At 39.9% G+C, this 21,126-nt stretch overlaps 1 protein-coding gene across 2 annotated transcripts in view, besides 11 other annotated features; it reads right to left on the bottom strand.

The window, feature by feature from the left end:
• ARID5B (AT-rich interaction domain 5B) overlaps window positions 1-21,126 on the bottom strand; it is a 195,246-nt gene that overhangs the window by 35,021 nt on the left and 139,099 nt on the right. Inside the window, exons 1-4 of one of the 2 annotated variants that reach the window (NM_001244638.2) lie at window positions 12,441-12,567; window positions 10,924-11,036; window positions 4,606-4,807; window positions 2,629-2,681 (exon numbers count right to left, since the gene is read on the bottom strand). In NM_001244638.2, coding sequence (NP_001231567.1) covers window positions 2,629-2,681; window positions 4,606-4,807; window positions 10,924-11,036; window positions 12,441-12,444 — 372 coding nt within the window. In that variant the 5' untranslated portion in view covers window positions 12,445-12,567. Of the gene's footprint in view, window positions 1-2,628; window positions 2,682-4,605; window positions 4,808-10,923; window positions 11,037-12,440; window positions 12,568-21,126 lie in introns of those variants that run through there. The other variant, NM_032199.3, reaches the window with a different exon arrangement.
• Window positions 7,120-7,239: an enhancer, noted in NCBI's record as "active region_3410". NCBI's record gives its function as "activates an Ori minimal core promoter by ATAC-STARR-seq in GM12878 lymphoblastoid cells {active_cell/tissue: GM12878}" and the evidence as "EXISTENCE:reporter gene assay evidence [ECO:0000049][PMID:35858748]".
• Window positions 10,242-11,441: an enhancer, noted in NCBI's record as "BRD4-independent group 4 enhancer chr10:63810242-63811441 (GRCh37/hg19 assembly coordinates)". NCBI's record gives its function as "activates an origin of replication core promoter dependent on BRD2, P300/CBP, MED14 and CDK7 cofactors, and independent of BRD4, by STARR-seq in HCT116 cells {active_cell/tissue: HCT116}" and the evidence as "EXISTENCE:reporter gene assay evidence [ECO:0000049][PMID:35650434]".
• Window positions 12,480-12,774: an enhancer, noted in NCBI's record as "tiled region #11943; K562 Activating DNase matched - State 4:PromP". NCBI's record gives its function as "activates a minimal TATA promoter and a strong SV40 promoter by Sharpr-MPRA in K562 cells {active_cell/tissue: K562}" and the evidence as "EXISTENCE:reporter gene assay evidence [ECO:0000049][PMID:27701403]".
• Window positions 12,480-12,785: a biological region, named in NCBI's record as "Sharpr-MPRA regulatory region 11943".
• Window positions 12,616-12,785: an enhancer, noted in NCBI's record as "active region_3409". NCBI's record gives its function as "activates an Ori minimal core promoter by ATAC-STARR-seq in GM12878 lymphoblastoid cells {active_cell/tissue: GM12878}" and the evidence as "EXISTENCE:reporter gene assay evidence [ECO:0000049][PMID:35858748]".
• Window positions 12,966-13,055: an enhancer, noted in NCBI's record as "active region_3408". NCBI's record gives its function as "activates an Ori minimal core promoter by ATAC-STARR-seq in GM12878 lymphoblastoid cells {active_cell/tissue: GM12878}" and the evidence as "EXISTENCE:reporter gene assay evidence [ECO:0000049][PMID:35858748]".
• Window positions 13,676-13,745: an enhancer, noted in NCBI's record as "active region_3407". NCBI's record gives its function as "activates an Ori minimal core promoter by ATAC-STARR-seq in GM12878 lymphoblastoid cells {active_cell/tissue: GM12878}" and the evidence as "EXISTENCE:reporter gene assay evidence [ECO:0000049][PMID:35858748]".
• Window positions 14,326-14,385: an enhancer, noted in NCBI's record as "active region_3406". NCBI's record gives its function as "activates an Ori minimal core promoter by ATAC-STARR-seq in GM12878 lymphoblastoid cells {active_cell/tissue: GM12878}" and the evidence as "EXISTENCE:reporter gene assay evidence [ECO:0000049][PMID:35858748]".
• Window positions 15,176-15,315: an enhancer, noted in NCBI's record as "active region_3405". NCBI's record gives its function as "activates an Ori minimal core promoter by ATAC-STARR-seq in GM12878 lymphoblastoid cells {active_cell/tissue: GM12878}" and the evidence as "EXISTENCE:reporter gene assay evidence [ECO:0000049][PMID:35858748]".
• Window positions 15,446-15,495: an enhancer, noted in NCBI's record as "active region_3404". NCBI's record gives its function as "activates an Ori minimal core promoter by ATAC-STARR-seq in GM12878 lymphoblastoid cells {active_cell/tissue: GM12878}" and the evidence as "EXISTENCE:reporter gene assay evidence [ECO:0000049][PMID:35858748]".
• Window positions 20,686-20,745: an enhancer, noted in NCBI's record as "active region_3403". NCBI's record gives its function as "activates an Ori minimal core promoter by ATAC-STARR-seq in GM12878 lymphoblastoid cells {active_cell/tissue: GM12878}" and the evidence as "EXISTENCE:reporter gene assay evidence [ECO:0000049][PMID:35858748]".

Raw genomic sequence — 21,126 nt, 5'->3', positions numbered from 1 at the left:
AATTCTGTTCATGACCAGATGGAGAGCAGATGCCAATTTGATCCTCCATATTCCCCAGCCCCAGTGAAGGGGATCAGAATATGTCACCCCTAAATTATGCCACGTTGGCATAAAGATTATTTTGAGATGAGGGCAACAGAGAACCAACAGATGCAGGAAGAGTTCTCTGCCCTCCCCTTATCTGCCTATCTGCCTAAAAGGAGGGCATAAATTTCCCATTGAGAAGGCGCCCACACAGTACCAGAAAGAGGGGCGACTCTTATCACCAGAGATGGGGAACTGGCAACTTTCCATAGTTCCCACAGCCTAATGAATAACTTTGGGGCATGGCATGGGAGGGCATAGCATCTGGAGGCTCAGCATGAAAGGGCCTAGCATCTGAAGGCCTAACATCAGGGAGCTAGCATCGGAGGACTTTCCTCACTTGGTTCCATCTTCTCTCCATCCTTCTCTCTAGAAACTTCCCTTCAGGGCCACTTGTCCCAGCCACCTCATCACTCTATTTTATGTTTTTCAAACTCTCCATGCCCAACCTTATTCTACCTCCATATATTTTCCCTTATTTGATTCATTCTCTCTTTCTGGAAGGCATAATCCATCATTCATGTCTAAATTTTATCCATTCCCCAGAATTCTTCCCAAATGGCCTCAGAGCCATCAAGCCTTCCTTCTCTCATCTCTACGTGAGTAAGTACTTTACCTGTGTAGGGCACTGACCTTTTTCCACCTTGTTTGATCATTATTGGCTCTCTTGGATGGTAAGCAACTTAAGGACTGAAATTACTGGCCTGACTGAAACCTTGCATCTAACAGTGTCTAAAACAATGCCTCATACACATAAGGTACTCAGTAAATATGTGGTCAGGTGTTTTGCTGATTGTGTGGTCATTCATTCATCCAACAAAAGGATAAATACTATTTGTTCAAAGAGTACTGCAAATGCCCTGAAATTTATTAAACTTTCTTCTGTACATTCTACATCAACTTGCTGTTGCATGGAAAAAAAATCTTTGTGAAGATACAGAAGACACAAAAGCAGGAAAAACTGATTCTGTGAAATTGTTGGCACTCTCCCTATCAGTGAATAACAAAAAGTTCCAGAGTGTGAAAAGACGTTTCATAATATTGTTCAATATCATATAACTATCTGCAGTCATGGTTCATATAAAAACGTATATTCCTATTCTAAACATTAAAAGCTAGACTTGAAAGTCTAGCCTATTGGGTTGACTTCTACGTTTATGAGACTAACCCTGAATAAGTTACCATTTTTTTTTACATGAATGAGGGCTATAATTAGCTCAAGATTTTGCCATAAACTATGAGCTACAGTGGCAAGGAGTTCATATCCTGATCCTATCAAAAGACTCCACTAAGTGAAAAATTACTATTTTTACATAGGTCACTTGATAAAATAAATATTTCAAGTAAATTTATGAATATGAAATGCACATTTTATATGTAGTCCATGTGACTATATTTCTTTATAAACATGTGTACATACGCCATATATGAAACATATTACAAGCACATATTATTCATATGAAAGAATTTTTAGTCGGAATTCATAGCAGATAGCTCAACAGAAAATACCAGATTATCTGAACCACATAATGCTTGTCCTCTTTCCCCATCCCAAGACCCGCACATCAAACCATTATATTAGTTTGTGGAACAATGTGCTTTATCTGGCAAGAAGCACTGGTTATTACGTTTGGGCTAAAATGAATTTCATTTTCTTGACTTTGTGTGTCTTACTGTCATTTTACTATGGTACAGAGATATCCCAGATTACTTCTCAGGGAATGAAAAAATAAGTTCTTATTCAATTGCAAGAAGAAACTACACAACTTAATCTGATCATTGTGTGGAGGAGAAAGTATTCCCAATGACAACATCTTCCTATGTCAATTGATTATATTACAGATGTCATCTCTGTGGGTTATATTTATGCAGCTCTTTCTTATTTAAAGATTTTAATCTCAGTTTGTTGCTGTAATGTTTCATTGGTTCAAAATACATGCTGTAAAAATCCGTGGCCATCAAATTTTCCTGTGGGCTAAAAATAACCCATTGCTGTCAGTTAGAATTAGCTGATAAAGAGTGTCAGAGCCTGTTCCGAATAAGTTTGATAACTTCCTGTTTATGCAGCACTGACCCTTGTCTAATAAAGCTTCTTTGCCCTAGAATGAGAGGAGATTCTGCTGCATTCTATTCCTTAATGGCCAATACTGATTACTTTTGAAAGCCTTTAATACATTTCCCATATTAGACATGAACAGATGTCAGGTATGTTGCCAAGGGAAATTTCTTTTATGCAATCTTGGCTTGTTGTACAATAATAGCCCTTTCTCAACATGGGAAAAAATTACAGACCCAACTAATTTCCCTGACAGGGGAGAGTTACATATGTTTTCCACTTGTAGTTTTTACGACAAGTTTACAATTTTGCCAAACCTGGAACTAATTGGGACTGTTTCCAAAGCGGCCCAATAAACCCCCAAAAGTGTAGAGCCATTTGAAAAGGCAGTCAGTGATGTTTTGCCCTTGCATGTTCTCCATTTTGGTCAAAGAGAGGGGAAAAGTTAGATTGCAAAATTATTTCATTTAAGTTGCTTAAACACTTACTGTTTCATATCCTCCCAGTTTTTGAGCAGCTTGAAACATAGTCCAAAGGTTAACTGTTAGAGGGACAATAAGTATTTAGATAAGCATTGCATTAACATACTTCCAAGAAATGTCAATTAAAACATTTTTTTTTTCAACGAGAAAGAGAAAAAAAGAAATACTAAAGTACCCCAGAGAGCTAAGTTCTTAGGAAACAATTTGCCCAAAGGGCATTTGACAACAGAATCTATTATTACCACTTAAAACATTTCTTAAGAAACAGTCATAAAGCTACAAAAATGGTTCTACTTTTAGGATAAAGGCAAGAGTTTTAGTCCTACTGTCATCAGCAGAGCAAGAGAAGCTAAATTAGATGTCTTTGGGAAAAAGCATGGGCTCTCAAAACTGGGGTTGGTCTTGTTCGACCCTTAGACGCCATTGATTAAACAGTAATATATAGAGCTTCTCTCATATAAGAACTCTCCATAATCAATAAATAACAGCCACTTTAATATACGATTACCTTCTTAATAGAATGTCTGATGGCAGCACTATATTAAAGGTTCATACAGTATTTCACCAACATGTGGTGGCTGGCAGTGAGTAGGAAAACAAATATTTCACGTGGAGGCCACAGTGATACAACAGATAAAAGGGAAGGAAGACATTCATTCAGAGAGGAATTGAATCATGAACCCACTTAGTCCCCTAACTGGCCTGTGTGATGTTGCAAATATATTTTTTTCAAACAGATTTCTCTTTGCAGAGTTTGTATATGTTTATGCTGTTAAACAACTATACCAAATTGCTAGCAACCCTGTTCATTTATACCAAACACCATGGAATGGGACTGCTATGGATTTGATTTTTTTACATGAGGGGAAAATTGAACTTCAAGTGATTCCTTGGTAAGGGAAATGAAGAATAAAATGATTTTTATTTTTAAAGGCTCTTTGACACAACATGTTCGCAAAGCCTCATTGAACCTTGCACTACTTCAGAGCTATCAAGAGCCCTGCCTCGGCCTTGATTTAATCTGAACCAATGCATAATGCAACAAAGCTGTTCATAATACATTAATTTTACTTCTATTTCAAGCAACCAGTTTTCAGACAAACATTGTAATCATTCGTAGTTATATAAGTTTATAATGGCTGCGAGTGTTCTCCTGCAATCAGTGCCAATTGCTATTAGGTATGTAAATTGTTATGTAAAACACACAGTTTTGACATTCTTCATCAAAATGACACATGGTTTTAATCTACGAAGATACATTTGGAGAAAATACTATTTCAAGCCAGAGGCTCATCGCTTTGTGCACCACTAAATCCAGACAGAGGCAAAATATATATTCGGTTGCAAAATCAAGGCAGGATCTGGATTTCTTCTCTTTTGATTTGGAATTCTGTTTGGCTATGAGTTTCCTGTTCTCCTTGCAAATATACAATGACACTTATATTTAAATGTACATGTCAAAGTAATTCAAAATTAGGCCCTCTGTTCCAATTTGTGTATTTCTTGTTTTCTCTGAAGTTGGATTTTTGTTATATTTTAACACATTTGGGGCTTAGGAAATGTGTTTTCCCTTTGTGGTTGTTTTGTCCATCTTTAAATGTCCTCCTTTTAAAAGCTGTTTTTTTCACAGGCAACATCTGTGCCTGATAAAGCTACGTCATATTATTATCTCACAAGAAAGGCGTCACAGACACTCAAGATTGACAAAACAGCAAATGAGAAACTTTCAACATGTCTATTTCCAGTCATAATCAGTGGATTCAAGCCTATAAATATCTCACTGCAACTGTCCCAGAAGGGAACAATGTAGCGGAAAAAGGCAGGGAAAAAATTCTTGGCCTGGAACATTTATGGATTTAGTATAAACAGAGAGCACTATCCCCAGATTAGGATTTCAACATAATCCTGAGTCAAAATTATTTTTTCCAATTCAAAGAATCTGAGCAGCTCTGATAATTCAGAAACGAAAACAAGTATACTCACTCTGTTTAAAACCTAAATAGGGTATTCGTTCTATCGGCGTTTTCCTTTCTTTCATGTATTTATAAAGTGCCACCAAGAAGGCTTGTTCATCTGCCCTGCACTCTTCACCAATGGCAACCTTTGGTTTTTCTTCATTTGAGACTTTTTTACAGTTATGGTTATTCTTCGGCTTGGTCAAGGCTGACCTGGCCTCACATTTCACCTGGAAAAGGGAAAATATACCACATCAGACGAGGCACAGCCCCAGGATGCTTACCAAGACATAGCTAGTGACAGAGCCAGCAACACTTTTCAGTGAGTGCTAAGGGTGAACCGGTAAATTATCCCTGCTTTTAATAGCTTTTCAGAGGCATCACTGAAGATGAATTGTCTGAGGCCAGGGGATGTCAAATTTCTGTAAAGGGCCACATCGTAAATATTGTAGGCTTCTGGGTCATACAGTCTCTGTTGCAACTATTCAACACTAGTAGGACAGCAGGCATCAGCAATATGTTAACAAATGGGTGTGGCTGTGTTCCAATAAAACTTTATTGACAGAAATTGCCAGCCAGTGGGTCATAGTTTGCCAAACTATGCCAGCTTCTTTTAGACTCCTGACAAGTATGTTGATGTGAAATGAGAGATAGCCTTTGCATCTGGTAGAAACATTCTTTTGTCTCTCTATATCAATACATTTTATTTTCTTAAGGAGAAGCATCAGTTAATGTCCTTGAACAAACCCTGCCTCCTTAACAAATAGAACCATATTTTATACTTTGTATCAAAATGAAAGGCAAGTCTATTTCTTTGTAGTAAACCACTCTTGTTGCTATTCTCTCCAGCAACCTTGAAAAACAAGTCAATACCAGCAGATGCTGGCATCAGCAATACCAGCAAGGCCTCTGCTGTTTGCCACCCAAGAGTGATGCGGGGGTACACCCTCAGTAGGAAACAAAAGATCTCACTGTTTAATGAGGGCTTCTTGCTTTATCAGTCAGCTCTAAGAATAAGATGTTAACTTGCCACAAAAGAAAGAGTAGAGGTCAGCTAAAAACCCAAGAAGAGTGAGTATAAAGCTCCATAATTAAAAAATAAAAGGCGGTAAAGTCTCCAGATGTTCTTCCTTCCACACTGTAGGCAGACAGGGAACTTGGCATATCGAGCGGCTAACCTAACTTTCCCTCCTCACTGCCATGTTCTACAAGAGGACTTTGATGGTCGTTAAATATAACACTAAGTTGCTGAGCTATTTTAATTGTAAAAGGGGGAAGTACAAAGGGTCAGACTCTGAGTTCAAGTGTGCCCATGGGGAATGTGTACATTCCAATATTCTTTACATCTCCGTAACTGACATCGGGAGAGAAGAGGGCAAGTGCTGGGGAAATGTTACGAATAAAAATGTCCCACATATTCTACAATGCTGTCCATTACAGGATTTCGAACCTTTTTCTTTCCCTGCAGCTCCTCCTTCCTAAGCATTAAGAACATAAAAGACTATGCTTATTTAGTAAAGGAAAGTACATTCTCTGCAGGAGTTCTTCATTGCTTATTCTCTCAAGTGAACACATACAGTTTAATATCTTTCGACTGGTCCTGCAAAGATAAAACTTCCTCTGAAACTGATTCAATGGGGCTTCTAGGTAGGATTTTAACTTTTAAGGGGCTATGGAAATGGGACTAAAACAATTTTCCCATGTAGATTTTGTACTCTCTAACATTATATGAAGGCGAACATCCCGTGAAACTTTATGTTGTCATCATTTTTCACTGCCAAATTTTAGGCTGTTGGATCTAAAGTTCTGATGAAATCTATAATTTAATGGCTTCTTGAAATCATAACATCACTCCAGTTTTAATTTGTATTGCCTCCCACCCCTTCCTGAGTGTTTCCTGGGCAGCCAGGCTCCATTCTCAACGCTGTTTATGTGTTATTTCAAACTTAAAACCCGAATGAGGTAGTTATTATTTTCGTATTAGAAATGAGGAAACGGAGGTAGACAGGATGAGCAGCATGTACAACATCACAAGATCATGCCCTAGTTAGTAAGTGGGGAATCTGGAATTTAAGCCCAGGCAGCCTTACTTTAGGGCTTATGGTTTTAAATGTTATACTTTTCTGACACTCTTAATACAAATATTAAATTGGTAATGAAAACAAACTTCTAATTAAAAAGCCTATCTTATTACCAGGCATTACGAAACCTACCACTTAGAAATGTGATTTATCAAATGAAAAGCAAAAGACAAATCTAGGGGGTTTCCAATGTGTCAAGGAGCTCCATTCCTCCTATTGTATATTGAGCAAAGGGGAAGGAAATCAGTTTTCAATTGAGCACCTACAATGAGCTAGATACAGTGCTGTGGGCTTCACATACTCTACCTTCATGTTCCTGAGAATTGTAAAAGGGAGATATTTAGCCACATTTTACAGTTGAGGAAACTAGAGCTTAGTGAGGTCATGTATGGTTTGGAAGGGGCAGACCTCTGGGTTTAGAACTCAGGTCTGCCCCACTCCAAACCCCAATTTTATAACATAAAGGAGTAGATCTCTCAGGTTTGTGTACAAAACTGACTGAGTCTTAAATTTGCAGTGATAATGGGCCAACTACCTATATTATTAGGTCAGAAGAACCACTGTTAAAAGGAGAATAAGGTTTGAGCTCCTTGGTGTGTAGAGAGCTGCTTAACCCTCTTCCTCATCTGTGTAGAAACACTCAGAAACAGAAAGAAGACACAGAGGGGTGCATGAACCAGGTCCAAAGTAACCCAGACTCCCTGCTACATAGCAAAGGCTCCAAATGAAGCCAGGCTGCTGCCTACTGAACTCTGTCCTGAATCTCAGTGGGCTTGCCAGCATGCTGCTCCTGGGGAGGCCAGGTACTTAGTAAGAAGTGAACAAGTAAACAGAAGCTTCTTTTCTTGTTCTAGCTTGATATTTTTTTTTTTCAGTTAAGATAAATGAGCTCTTTAGGGTATTATTCTGATTCTGGGTAGGACTAAATCAAGTTCCTTTCTGTATGTTTTTACATTTACCCAAAGCATTCTCAGCATTTCAATCTATTAAATTATTACAGTGCAGGTGGTAGTGGAAATGGGAGCTAGTCTTCATGTTGACCTAAGAAAGCCCAGCCTTTTGATGGTGACAGTTAATTACTAGATCTGTTTTTCCTGACCTGAACACCATACACCTGTTGAGTTCACTAAGTACTTTGGGGTTTCCAAAATGATTGAGGAGGTGCTAATTAAAGAATCAACATTTAACGTTTTCAATGATCCACCACCTATTTGATATTAACCACATCCTTCCACGGGATTGAGTTATAACTAATCCAGCCTTCAACTGGGGCAGTAAGATGTGCTGAACCAGCAATACAAAAAGCTAGAGTTCTAATCTTGGTTTGGTTGCTAACTTGCTAGGTGACCCTCAGTTTCTACCTTAGTAAAGCAAAAATGATAATCCCTGGGAATAGTTCTGAGGACCAAATGAGAGGAAAAATATTGAAAATAATGAAAGTATCACATTTGTGAAATATAGAAAGTATGTTTATGGTTTAAATGAACACACTTCCCACCACAGTTTCCTTTTTTGTGTTCCTTTTAGAATATAAACCACCTGTAATACACTTCTGCCCTTCAGAAAATGCATACGGGATATTAAAAATAATTTGCCTTCTATCAATGTAGGCCTTTTATTAGGGTCCTATGCCATGAAGATTTCTGTTATAGATCACTCTATGAAAGGCCTGGGCCTCAGGTTCACTGCTTTAAGATTATTCCAGAAAAAAATGGCAGGATTTGGGCTGAACACAGTCATGAGATCTTCAAAGAACTGGTAGTTTCCTCCCCACGTGACACTTGCTGTCTTTGGGGAGCCATGTAATTCTCTCTCCGTTGGAAAACATGGTCTTGCAAAGCTGGTTTTCATGTTCTCATTGAGGGAGTGCAACGTTTTGATGGCGACCGGCAAATCACTTGACTTATTTTTCCAGTCATGAACACAACAAACCCAGTGGGTCCCACTCTAAGAGCTTTGCTGTGTGGAGCTGCATGAAGTTGGTGCTTAGTTAGAAATGGTCTGTTTGAGGCACTTTTAAAAAGAAACAGTCACATGGGTCTTGGTCACAAAGTCAAACAGCTCACTGTCCTCTAAGATGCTGCTTTCAATTCAACAGATGATTAGATGGTCACAGACTCATAATCTCTACTGCAGTGTTTCATGAGAAAAGACCATGTTAAGACACACATGCTTTTTAATGACTGTCCTCATCCCAGATGTGGCTTGTTCATTCTGTAGGGATTTTACATCTGCCTGTTGGTGTCAACAGACAAGCTCGTCACACTTCATACCTACTGATCTTTTTGCTTAAGTGGTCTTGCCAGACCCACTGGAAGCAGCCAAGGCATGACTGTAATCCAAGACTCTGAAAAGAGCCAAGCCATTAGACCAGTCCCTAGGAGCTGACTGCAGCATGACATTCATCTGTTCACCATTGAACACCAACGGTGGAAGAATGATCCATCTCTTTGTAAAGATTCTGACGGGCAGCACTGTTGCGGGGATGGAGTAAAGGCGTCACTTAGAAAACCCAGGACTGACTTCTATCCTTCTTGTTAAGAAGTCAGTGAACATCAAATATGGCCCATCTGTATAGCAGGCTCTTGTTCTTCTCGGCTTTGTGAACCCAACAGTGAGTTCTGAGCTGCCTTCCATGGAAAGAAACATTGGAGGTCTGCTCTTTCAGATCAATTGTATGAGTTCTGTAAAATTCTCAGAAGCAGACCTTGGTGGTGATTCCAAGTGGCATGGGAAGGAGCTTTATCCTGCCGGGCTCAGGTACAGAATATGCTGGAGTAAACAAATGCTGTCAACCAAGAAGGATGGGCTGGGCACCAACAGAAGGCATGGGCAGTACAAGCTCTGCTGAATGTTATGGTCTTGAAACCTTCTTGCGCCATTCTGCAGGATCTTGCAAACTACATAGTAGGGAATGAACTGTTCCTGCTGACATCCTTCAAGACGATGGAAACCAAAGTCCTAGGTAGATAGTTCTAGGGCTGAGGTGTCCAACTTACAAGAAAATGTCATTCATGGCATCCATGTGGAGTTAATTCGCAGAAAGTTAAATGTGCAAAACAACAATAACTTTAGGGAAAGAGATTTGTTTTCAGCAAGAAACTGGAAAATACACATTTCTACTGGTTGATCTCTTCTTAACCCTTTGGAATCTTAGAAGTATGAAGAAATTCTAAGCAAAAAAGTCCTTAAAATTTCCTAATGAAACAATGATGCTTAAAGATAAGATTTTTTAGAATGTGAAAGTCTAAGATTTACTTCATTACACTGGGAAGGAGGTAGAGTACATGGCAGAGAAACAGTAGACTGTCAACACAGAACTTAACTCATGTTTTTTTTTTTCTACATCAGACTCTTCCAAATTCACCACTAATCAAAATGGTCCCATTTTCAGAAGTTTAGTTATTTGATCTGGAAACTGGTGTCAGTTGAAATCTGTTCGTCAACTAAAATCCTAAAGGGACGATTGCTGTCTTTAGCACAAAAATAACACCTAAATGCAGTAAACAGAACCATGGAAATCTGACCCAAGCCCACAAAAGTCAGAAAGGTAAGTCTAAAAATATAAAGTGATACTTTACCCTTTGTCGTGCAAAATACTTCAGGCATGCATGCACTTTCAAGATTCCAAAGAATGCTTAGGTAAAAAATTGACCTGGGTCTTGAACAACAGCGTAGAATTTACTTTCATTCTATGTTAACAGAGATCTTTAAAAGTATATAAATGCTTGTGGGCATATGTATACATCTAAATATTTTGCTATGTATCTTTAATTTTAGTCTAATGTAAATTAGAAGTGACTTTGAAAAATACATAACTAAAAAGATTAATTCTAGCTATTTCTAATTTCATCCTCTGTTAATCTCCAAAACACATTTAGATGAACACATTCAGAAAGAGGACGGTTCAGCTGGTCTATTTTTGACACAAGCAGAGTAAACTATGTCATTGTGTCACCCACTATGAAATCTCAGCCTCAATGACGTGGGTGCTTAATCATCTGTCCTTTACTCATAACAGGCCAAACTGGGAGGTAGGAAGTCTTTCTGTTGACTAATCAAAATGCCTACCTCCCCCAGCCCACGGCAACCAGGGGAAGGGAGGTGGCAGGAACAGGCACAGCATAGAGCTTCAAAAGCTCTGAATACCAAAGTCAGATGCTGAATTGAAAACTGCCTCCAAGACACAGGCACAGAGAGATAAAGAGAAAAAGCAAAAATAAAAAGATGCAACGAAATGAATACCGTGGAGTGAATGACCGTACCTTGGCAACGGCTTTGCCATCGGAATTGTTGTTGGAATCCTTAACACCACTGAATGAATCTCTTCTTTGTGGGCATGGTTTCTTTTTGCGTGGTCTGCCTTTAAGATTTGGCGCTGAAAACAAATGGAAAACAATTGATATACATTTTCACTTGCATGGGTTTCTTTATTAAAGACCCAGAATCTCACTACAGTGATCCCTTCTAATTGTTCAGAGAAATGTACAGATCTGTGGCAGGCAGCCCTCATTATTACATGCTTCTCTCTCTGAAGGCTTGCATATTGGTAGAGTATACATTTCTGTACACGTTTCCCAAAGCTAATCTATTTAGCTTTAACATGTCTAATTAATAGAAGTAACACGAAGCTCTTAGCTCTAAAGGATCATGATAAGAAAAATGTCCTTCCACGTTGTTAGACAAGAAGCATTTGGTGCTGAAAAACTGAGCCAGGCTTTGAGCTCAATCTTTGGTTTTTGTTTTGTATCTTGCTTTCCGAAACCTAAGTGACATGCCTGCCCTTATGGTATCATAGTAATGAAATGTTTGAAAACATCTCTTTTACAAAATATTCAGAGACAAGGGCATTCTCTCAAATTACCATACAGATAAGTAGAGAGATAGCTATAGAGAGAGGGGCATTCACAACAGCAAGCTGGAAAACATTATTACATATATTTACTAACAATACTGCAACCAGCAAGTTTCAAATCTCAACAAATCTGACAGATACATTTAAATCAGCATGCTGTCTTTTCCTTTTCAATATATTTTTATGAAGATCTTAAGGCTTATTTAATATAACATCCAAAGATTACACTGGGGTTAGCCTGATTCCATGGGGGTTACACTTTTGAAAAGACAAGATACAAATCAAAGTTCTATTTCATCCTTGATGCTGAGCTTGTTCCTTTTAAGATCTACACAGAAAGTAGGGGGAAAAGGCTGCTGTTTATTGAGAGCTATGACTATCCGGCATCAGCTTTCACATTTAACTTCATCAGTCACCCAAGTCAAGCAAAATTAAAAACAACCAACTAACCAACCACCCCTAGAATGACTCCAAGCTAATGAATTATACCCTAAACAATTTCCTTCAGACCTTTCAAGGCACCCACACTTTTTATTACTTAAGGAGTGATTATGACAATGTCAAATCTAAACAACATGAACCTTCTTGATTGTTGTTAATCTTACTTAGGCAGTTAACCAGTGGTTTTAGGACATTTTTACACTGTACTCATTTTACAAACACAATTAATCCTACTAATTTGATTTTCTCCTCCGGATAACAGTTTTACTGTTGGTGGAAGCTCAGTAAAGCAGAACTGCCTTTAAAATCAGAGAGGCAAAAGTTTAAAAAGAGGCTTTAGGGCTTAGGATCCCCTTCCCACACCCGCTCTCTCCTCTCATTCCCCTAAACGCTGGTCTGAAAGTCCATCCCAGAAAGCCAGCCTGGAATTACCAAAGGTAAACAAGCTCACAAACAAAAATCAAGCAAAGAGAAAGTAGCGATTACCCATTCCAGTCGACAAACATCTGCCTGACTGATGCCTGTGCTCATGAAAGCTACAGCATGTGACTGCTCCCCGGCCACATCCCTGGAAGTCTCGACTTGGTGTGGATGTCAGCTTCCCTCCGAATGCGAGCTGCGAGGCTCAGCGCTCTGCTTACAACTCCCCTCCCCCGGCAGCTCCATTACTCATGTAAACACACAGCAGTGACTAGCACCGAGTGTGTGGGATGAGCCTGAGGACTTTGCTGGAGTTGCCAGACTGGCAGGGAGGGCTCTGCTCTCTCCACCTCCCCGCACGGAGATGGTGATTTCATCCGGCCTGTTTTGTGGATCCTGACCTCTTGCTCTCCTTGTCAGAGCACGATGCCACGTTCCATGAATTTGACACGGTCCGCAGCCTGGAGCCAGGGCATGGACTATTTGTTTTGTTTAGAAGACTTTGTGTAGCACAGAAGTGTTTCCACAACTGACCCAAGTGCTAAGACTTTAATGACCGCGAGGGAAGGATGTACTTTCAAGTCCCTTATCAAAATAACAGCTGAGCAGAAAGCTGACAAACAAAACTTGGGGTAGCAGGTCGCAGGCATTTCATTAAAACAAACAAAACAATATCCCCTCTGTTCTAAGACTTGTTACTATGATCTTCCCTTCCTAGCATTTTGGTGAAAAGCACTTAGACCTAAAAGGCATTTATTTCTAGAAAAGCTTTCAAATCCCAAAGGCCTTTTCGACAGAACTTGCATCGAACATGCTGTTTTTAAATAAAGGCAAAGGTTCCGGGAACTGACAAGAAGTCATCCCCAAACTGGGTTTATTTTCTCCATTCTTTGAGCTGTTTTCAGAACCCAGAGAAGCACATGTACTCCCCCAGCAGATTCTGAGAATTACAAATTTAGAACAGACTAGCACCTAATATTCTGGTCACACAAACGTAAACTCTAAATGGGATTTGATCAAGAGAAAAAGCCCTTTGTTCTTAGTAAGGCAAGTACTTGCGTATTTCAGGTATGGTTAGGCAAATCCTACCAGTCATTCAGGACTCAAAATCAAATTCCTCTCCTACTCTCCCCTCTGAACTTTTTTTCCCTCCTTCTCTTATGGAACATATCACTGTACTCCTTGTACTTTAGCTGTGGTTTTTGGCATATTATTATACCAGACTGGAGAATCCTTAAGGGCAAGACCCTGTGGGATGTGTCTTTTATCTGCCCAGCACAACACCCAAAAGGCTGCATTGCATAACATGTATTTGTTGAATGAAAAAGTGACTAATGGAAATAAAGATGCCCACATACTGTTCTTTCCTGTCCTCATAGACTGGTCCCGCCAACCTCACACGTGGTATACTTGTCACACTGGGCACTTGTAAAACTGCATTCACCTTTACTACTTATGCTTATGCTCTGGAAACATAAACTGGTGACTTGAGTTTGCACTGGGAATGGAGACAGGAAACCAAAGGCCTTTGGTATCTCAGTAAGGCTATAATCTAGTCCCCACATGCAATGCACAAACACCCTGAAGAGCACAAATATTCAAAGTACGGGGTGGGGGGAATGGAACACAAAGGACTGGGTAGGTGCCTCTGCAATCGAATCAGAGACCTTTTGGATTCAGAAGACTCCAGGTAAAGTTTTGGTATTGAAGGACTGGCTTTGGGGACAGCAAAAATTCTGGTCCCCAGGCCACATCTTTGTCCCTCTAGAGTCATAATCTGTCATTTGCTAGGTCAGTGAGTGAAAACAGGTGCATTATGGTGTGCTGGTGGGCAGGAGTGGGATGGGTCTGCGGACTTTAATTCACTCATGTAAGAGACAGCCCCACCTCCTTCCAGCCACCCTGCAAGGACCTACACCTGCCCTCTCCTTGAAAGCTCAGTGCTATGTACTTACTGACAGAACCTAAATCCTAAGACTCCAGAATTAGACCAGCTCTTGTTCTTTAGGTGAGACTGATCTCTACCAAGAAAAAGCTCTGCTAGGGAGAGAGCAGTACCCTTACTGATAGCATATCTGGCTTCAGTCAGTTTTATTAGAAAAAAAACAGTGCAAAGCAATAGACGTACTGTTACTTTTACGTGTGTATATGATTCACTGGCCTGGCTTATCACAGAGTTCAGTAAATGCTCTTTGCATGAATGTTTTCAGTATTATACATGAATAATAAGAGTAGCTAAGTGAATAATAATAGTAGCTAACCATTTCTGAGCACTTTCTCTGTACAAGTCACTCTTCTGAGTGCTTTGCATACAATAATTCCACTAAAACTCACAGCAAGCCAAAGAGGAAGGCATGATCCTTATCCCCATCTTACAGACCAGGAAACTGAGACAGAGATGAAATTACTTGTCTCAGACCATACAAATGGTTACTGGCAGCAGAAGGATTTCAACACAGGCAACTGGACTTTATCCAGAGCCCCTGCTTTAAGCAACTTATCTCTAACAGACACACACACAGACACACACACACACACACACACACAGACACACACACATTGCCTCAAAATGAAGTATTCATACTAACTTGGGCTGGCAGTCACCAGGGAGCTCTCCGCAAATGAAAACACTCAAGTACTACATAGCACGAGGGTGCTGCAGCCCACCCCAGACAGGAAACACTGTCCGACAGAATTGACAGCGAGTGGGGTCCCCTTTAGTCTTGACCCAGCAGTAGGTGGCAAGACTCCCACTAAGGCCAATAAAACTTAGTCAGAGAGCCCTACATATTACCCTCCTTAACCAGTGGGCCACTGACTCTTCTGCCTAATCAGTGAAAGATCTCTGTGGTTTAAAAAAAAAATCTTTCCCCTCTGACTGCCCATCTGTTCCTCTTACTCAGTGCCAAGAAATTAACAACTATTCACCTTTGTGAAGTCACTGCTATTTCTATAGGTGTTAATCCTCAGAGAATCAAGCTACCTCCAGAGCTCCAGGCTACTCTGACAGCTAACCCATGTTTGTTTTTTCTTTTTAAACTCCTTCAAATATTAATGAATTATAGTCTATTTTCTCAACAATATAGCAAAACAAGTTTGTTTTTCTTAAAGGGTCTAGAAGCTGAGTTGCAGACAATTTGTTTATATATTTATTTCACTACGGGTTCACACAAGTTACATGGCAGGGCAGTGCAGGTGTGGGAAACTTTTATGTCAACCCCAACTCTTGCAATAATAATAATAAAACAAAGGGAAATGTAACCAGTTACTGGCAAAGTAAATTGCTTTTGGCTTAAATGTTCCTGTTTTTTTCTACTGTGTTCTTCCTGTCATGACCGTCTCTTTTTTTTAATAGCATTTATGCTCTTGGAAATACCACGAAGATAGATAAACTGCTATAAAAGCTGGATTGACTCATCAGTTAACAACTCTTCCTTCCCATTTTGCAGAGAGACTTGTTGCCAACACAGCTACATATTCTCTCGAGAAATTCTTTGTGAGCTTCCACTCAGAGATAGGATTTACTTGTTGGTAGGGACTGGAATCAGGGGAATGGAAAACCAGCACAATTTTCCTAAGAGTTTGACCCCCGAGGTCAATGTCTAGAGAAGTCGGCGGAGCGTTAACTCATTCGATTTGCAAGTTGCGTGTGTCTTTTAAACACGAGCCAGAAAACAAAACTCCACTGATCACAGTATTAGGGAAGACAAACATTGTTCTATGTATAGTATGCGTTACTGATAATACCCTGCATTTCTGTAATGCTTTTCCTCTGAGGATATCAATTCTCTGGCACATTTTCTTTTCAGACAATAATCTTAAAATACTGGCTGGGCACTTTGGGAGGCTGAGGCGGGTGGATCACGTGGTCAGGAGTTCGAGACCAGCCTGGTTAACATAGTGAAACCCTGTCTCTACCAAAAATACAAAAATTAGCCAGGCATGGTGGTGTGCACCTGTAGTCCCAGCTACTCGGGAGGCTGAGGCAGGAGAATCTCTTGAACCCGGGAGGCGGTGGTTGTGGTGAGCCAAGATCGCACCACTGCACTCCAGCCTGGGCAGGCAACAGAGCAAGACTTCGTCTAAAAAAAAAAAAAAAAAATACCCTGGCAAGTTTCAGCATGGAGCATTGCTCTTTCGGGGGGGAGGAGTAACCTACCCTAATTTAGTTATCATTTACTGTGTTCTATTTTCAATGTTTCCCTTTTAACTATTTGGAAACTTCCTCTTTCATTACAACAAAAATAGAACGAATGTTTTTAAAGTTATTAACGTATGAGTAAAAGACTTAGAAACCAAGAATGGCAGAAGGCTTGATCAAAGCCACTCCTAAAATTTATGGGTGTAATGAAAGAAAGGCATTTCACAGATAATCTCTTACAGAATTTCAGTTTTCAAATATGTGGGGGAACAAAAGAAAACTAGAAGCTCTCAGACCTCATTTTGGCTTTAACTTAAAGCCAATATTTAAAAATTCATAAATAAGTCCCTGAAATTTTTATTTCAAATCCACAGTTATATTTCATATAGTGACCATTGGTATTAAATTTCTATTCAATTGTTTGAATCTTTCTACAAATTCACAAAACACTGATCACATACGAATTTAGGAAATATTCAAGTTTATTTTCATTCTGTTTTCCCAAAATCAGTCTTCCACACCCAACAGAAATGCCTGAGAAGCAATTGCATTGTATGAGATATAAACACACTGGGCCATTGACAAGCACAACTTGATCCTGCGCGACGTTCTAACTCTGATGATGAATTTTGAACAATAGATATGGAAACACAATACTGCAAAAGTTTCATTATTTGGCAATTGTTCTGACAGTTTCCTCTTCAGAGTAATTATTTTTTCTCAGATAAAGGCATTAAAAAGATGAAGCCCTGGTGGTGGCTCATGACTGTAATCCCAGCACTTTGGGAGGTGGGAATATTGCTTGACCGGGAACTTGAGACCAGCTTGGGCAATGTAATGAGACCCCTGTTTCTACGAAAATTAGTTGGGTGTGGTGGCATGTGCCTGTAGTCCTAGCTAGTTGGGAGGCTGAGGTGAGATGATTATTTGAGTTCAGCAGTTTGAGGCTGCAGTGAGCCTAGACTGTGCCACTGCTCTCCAGCCTGGGTGACAGAGTGAGACCTTGTCTCTTAAAAAAAAAAAAAAAAAAAAAGAGCAAATGAACCCAGAGTCTGGAACCCAAATTCTAGAGCCAGATTTAAACACTTTTCATGTTCAAATGTCATCAAGAGCAGACAACCCCAATCACTAATGGATGGATGTGCCCTAGAGAAATTTTACACTCATCACACTGGATATCATGCGATATAAAGACCTGGACTTTGAGTTTCCAAGTGTGCTTTTGCCCAAGTCATACCCCTACACTGCTTGAACCACAAACTACAATTTAGCATTTCCAATGAACTCTGCTCTCACAGAATCCAAGTGCTTGTTCTTCCTCCTGGAAGGGTGAGCAGTTGTGGTGTTAGAAAGAACATTTAAAAAAAAAAAAAAAGAAGCTGGCTTCATATGAGGTCGTCACTTTGCCTCTTTGTCAAAATCATTGAGAGCCCCAAGAGTCAACAATGAGAGTAATGTATTACTGCCTTTGCTATACCTGGATTGCTTGGGCAGTTTAAGTCCAAAACAGCCATGGACTTCATTGACTGCTCAACAAACCATGTAAGTAAACACTTTTGTAATCCATTCCAATACATGCCCAGTCTTACTCACTCTGTTTCATACTTGTGAATGCTGGAGTAATTATTAATGCTCCTGATCAAGGTTTTAGTAATTTCTTAGGCATGTGATTTGCATAGCTATTTCCTGATCCGCCGTCTCTCTCTGCCCTGGAGGTCTTCATTTCTCAGAAACACTTAAAAACAGATTATTTTACTTCTACCCTTCCCCCAACCCATAAATGGAACAGGACTTCCTAGCTCATCTGTATTGCTAATTGGTTTGAAAGCATGTGACTCCATGCATTCTTGCCATTAAAACACAAGCAAGCCTTTTTTGAAGTCAGCTTTACCAGCAGTGATAGGCAGATTTCTATCTTTGTTCCCCCACTGTGTCTTGAGGCAAGGGAGAAATGTAAATGATCACGTTATTTAAATATTGTTCTGAAATCATGTAGTGAATTCCAACGTAATATAAAAATGTTCTAGAAGTCTGTATAATAGGGGTGTCCACAAACACACTGGCAAAGAAGAAAGGGATTATAGATGCTTTTCACTACTGCTTGAGAAACAAGGGGAAAATCTGGGAGCTGAATCTAGGAGTGAGGAGACAGTCTGGCTTTTCAGAGGATTGACTCTCTAAGGGGAGAATTCTGGAAATAGGAAAAGAGATTGAAATCTATGCCAGACCTTTCCAACTCTCACCTTCTCTCTGGTCTATTTGGCTGTCTGCAATATCCTCCAGGGGAAACCATTCTTGGTGGAGGGTCCCCTTGTAAGAAGTGGACGTGGTAGCTCATGGCTGCTGTGCAAGAGCCTATGCATCTTTGGGATAATGGGGTCTATATACCATAGCATGGACAAGACCACAGCCTAGGTTTTCCTGAGGATCAGGAGCCTATGGAAAGAATCCTTTGTCTTGGAATTCCATATATTCTTTTTTTTTTTTTTTTTTTGGGACAGACTCTCGCTCTTTCACCCAGGTTGGAATGCAGTGACGCGATCTTGGCTCACTGCATGCTCCACCTCCCAGGTTCACACCATCCTCCTGCCTCGGCCTCCCGAGTAGCTGGGACTACAGGCGCCCGCCACCAAGCCCAGCTAATTTTTTTTTTGTATTTTTAGTAGAGACGGGGTTTCACCGTGTTAGCCAGGATGGTTTCGATCTCCTGACCTCGTGATCCAACCGCCTCGTCCTCCCAAAGTGCTGGGACCACAGGCGTGAGCCACGACGCACAGCCAGAATTCCACATATTCTATAAAGAGACATCAGGGCAGAGCGGACATCTTAGGACTTAGCTCACACCTAAGGGTGTGGCGGTGGTGCTATCTAGGAGCTGATACTGCACGCAAAGGGTCTGTTTTCTCAGCCCATGCCACCCACCAGCTAGCTGCAAGGTCCTGTCAAGTCACAAATTCAGTAAAACCAAAAGTGGACTCTCAAAATGCCATCAAGGCTCAAACTCCCACTTTCACATTTACCTGGCAACTCCTTTCTCCTATTCATCTCTCCAGATGCCAGGTGTCCACGAGCCATTTCCAGGCCCCAGGCTCCTCTCTCAATGGAGATCATGCACAGAAGCTATTACAATGAGAATAAGCATGTTGTTTCAATGCTATACTATGTGTTTTTTTCTTATGACTTTGAAATAGCTCCTGTTTTCATTTTTTGAAAACTCTTCTATAAATACAGATTTAGTCTTTCTTGGTATGGTTCTATATAATACAAATATAATATTAACAAGATAATTGTCTTTTTTTCTTAAGGCTGTTTAAGGATCTGCTCTGGAAATGTGTTTTAAGGACATTTTGATTTCCACAATTTCTGAAGGTTGTACAGATAGAACCTCTTAAACAAAGAGAGTTAATTTTTTGTCTCTCTCTTTTTTCTTTTTGTTACAATCAATAAATCTGCTCGTTCTAGTCTATGATTGATATGTTCTTTGGTGTTACTATTGAACATGACAGCACAGAAGTGAAAGCAACATTTTTGTACTGAATAGCCTTGTAAGAGCAGTAAATATCAGAACAGTTTTTAAACTCATTTATAAACAGGACATTCTTGTTCAGCCATTTCTCCAGGTTTGGAAATGAGATATTCCATTTCATCATTGAGGATAACTGATTTGCTACCTCTCTACAGAAAACATTCCCCACTTGGAAATAAGTAAAAGAGATGGATTGTTTTTGTTTTTGTTTTGGTGTGTATGTGGATTAACATGGAGATATTTAACTTATGACATACTTGGATGAGTATGTCATGGGATACATTTTAATATTTAAAAGACATACACATAAGAAACAGTTATCAAGTGATAGGCTCCCAATTCTTTTAAAAAGATCCAAAAAGGAATTTGTACAGAAAGGGGGCTTTTCACTCACTTTGTGCTTTTATACCTTTCAGAAAGAATAATGTGAATAGTAGGATAGTCTTTTACTTAAAAGTAAAAAGATGACTATTTTTGGTTGTCTGAGATTCGGAGACATTTTTCTTTGTTCAGGCAAATCCCTCTCACCCTTCCTCCCTATGAGGGCACCAGCACCATCCCCAACTAAGTACCTCAGTGGTCTCTGAGCTTCATTTGTTTGTGCAGGTACCGGAGCCAAGATACTGGAAAATGACTTTAAAAACTCTTCTGTGGTACCAAGAACCTCATGCAAACTCACAGATTGTATAGAAGAGCGTGTGTCTTGGAGCAGGGTGGGGTGAGGGTACAGAATGAGAAGAGCTTTGGGGCCTGGAGTGGGCGTGGAGAGGCAGCAACAAGGTTGATAATACCTGGTGACATGTTAACTAAGGGCAGATTATAAGCCGTGGGGCAAGCTAGAGTGATCACTCAATTGGAGGGAGGGTTTGTTACACTATAGAGAAACAGCACACAGATACCATCAGAAACCCTAATGTAAAGCTAACAATGAACCCAGAAGAGGTTACAGCTTCTTTACATTTTTCACTGTAAGATAAAACATTTCTATGACTATTTAGAATTGCTGTGTCTGATACAGTCACCGCTAGCCACGTGTCCCTTGAGTATCTGAAATACTATATGTCAAGTCCAAATTGAGATGTGCC

The sequence above is a fragment of the Homo sapiens genome, chromosome 10, assembly GCF_000001405.40.
Source record: "Homo sapiens chromosome 10, GRCh38.p14 Primary Assembly".
NCBI classification, from domain to species: Eukaryota; Metazoa; Chordata; class Mammalia; order Primates; family Hominidae; genus Homo; species Homo sapiens.
This window is presented reverse-complemented; position numbering and strand designations above follow the sequence as displayed.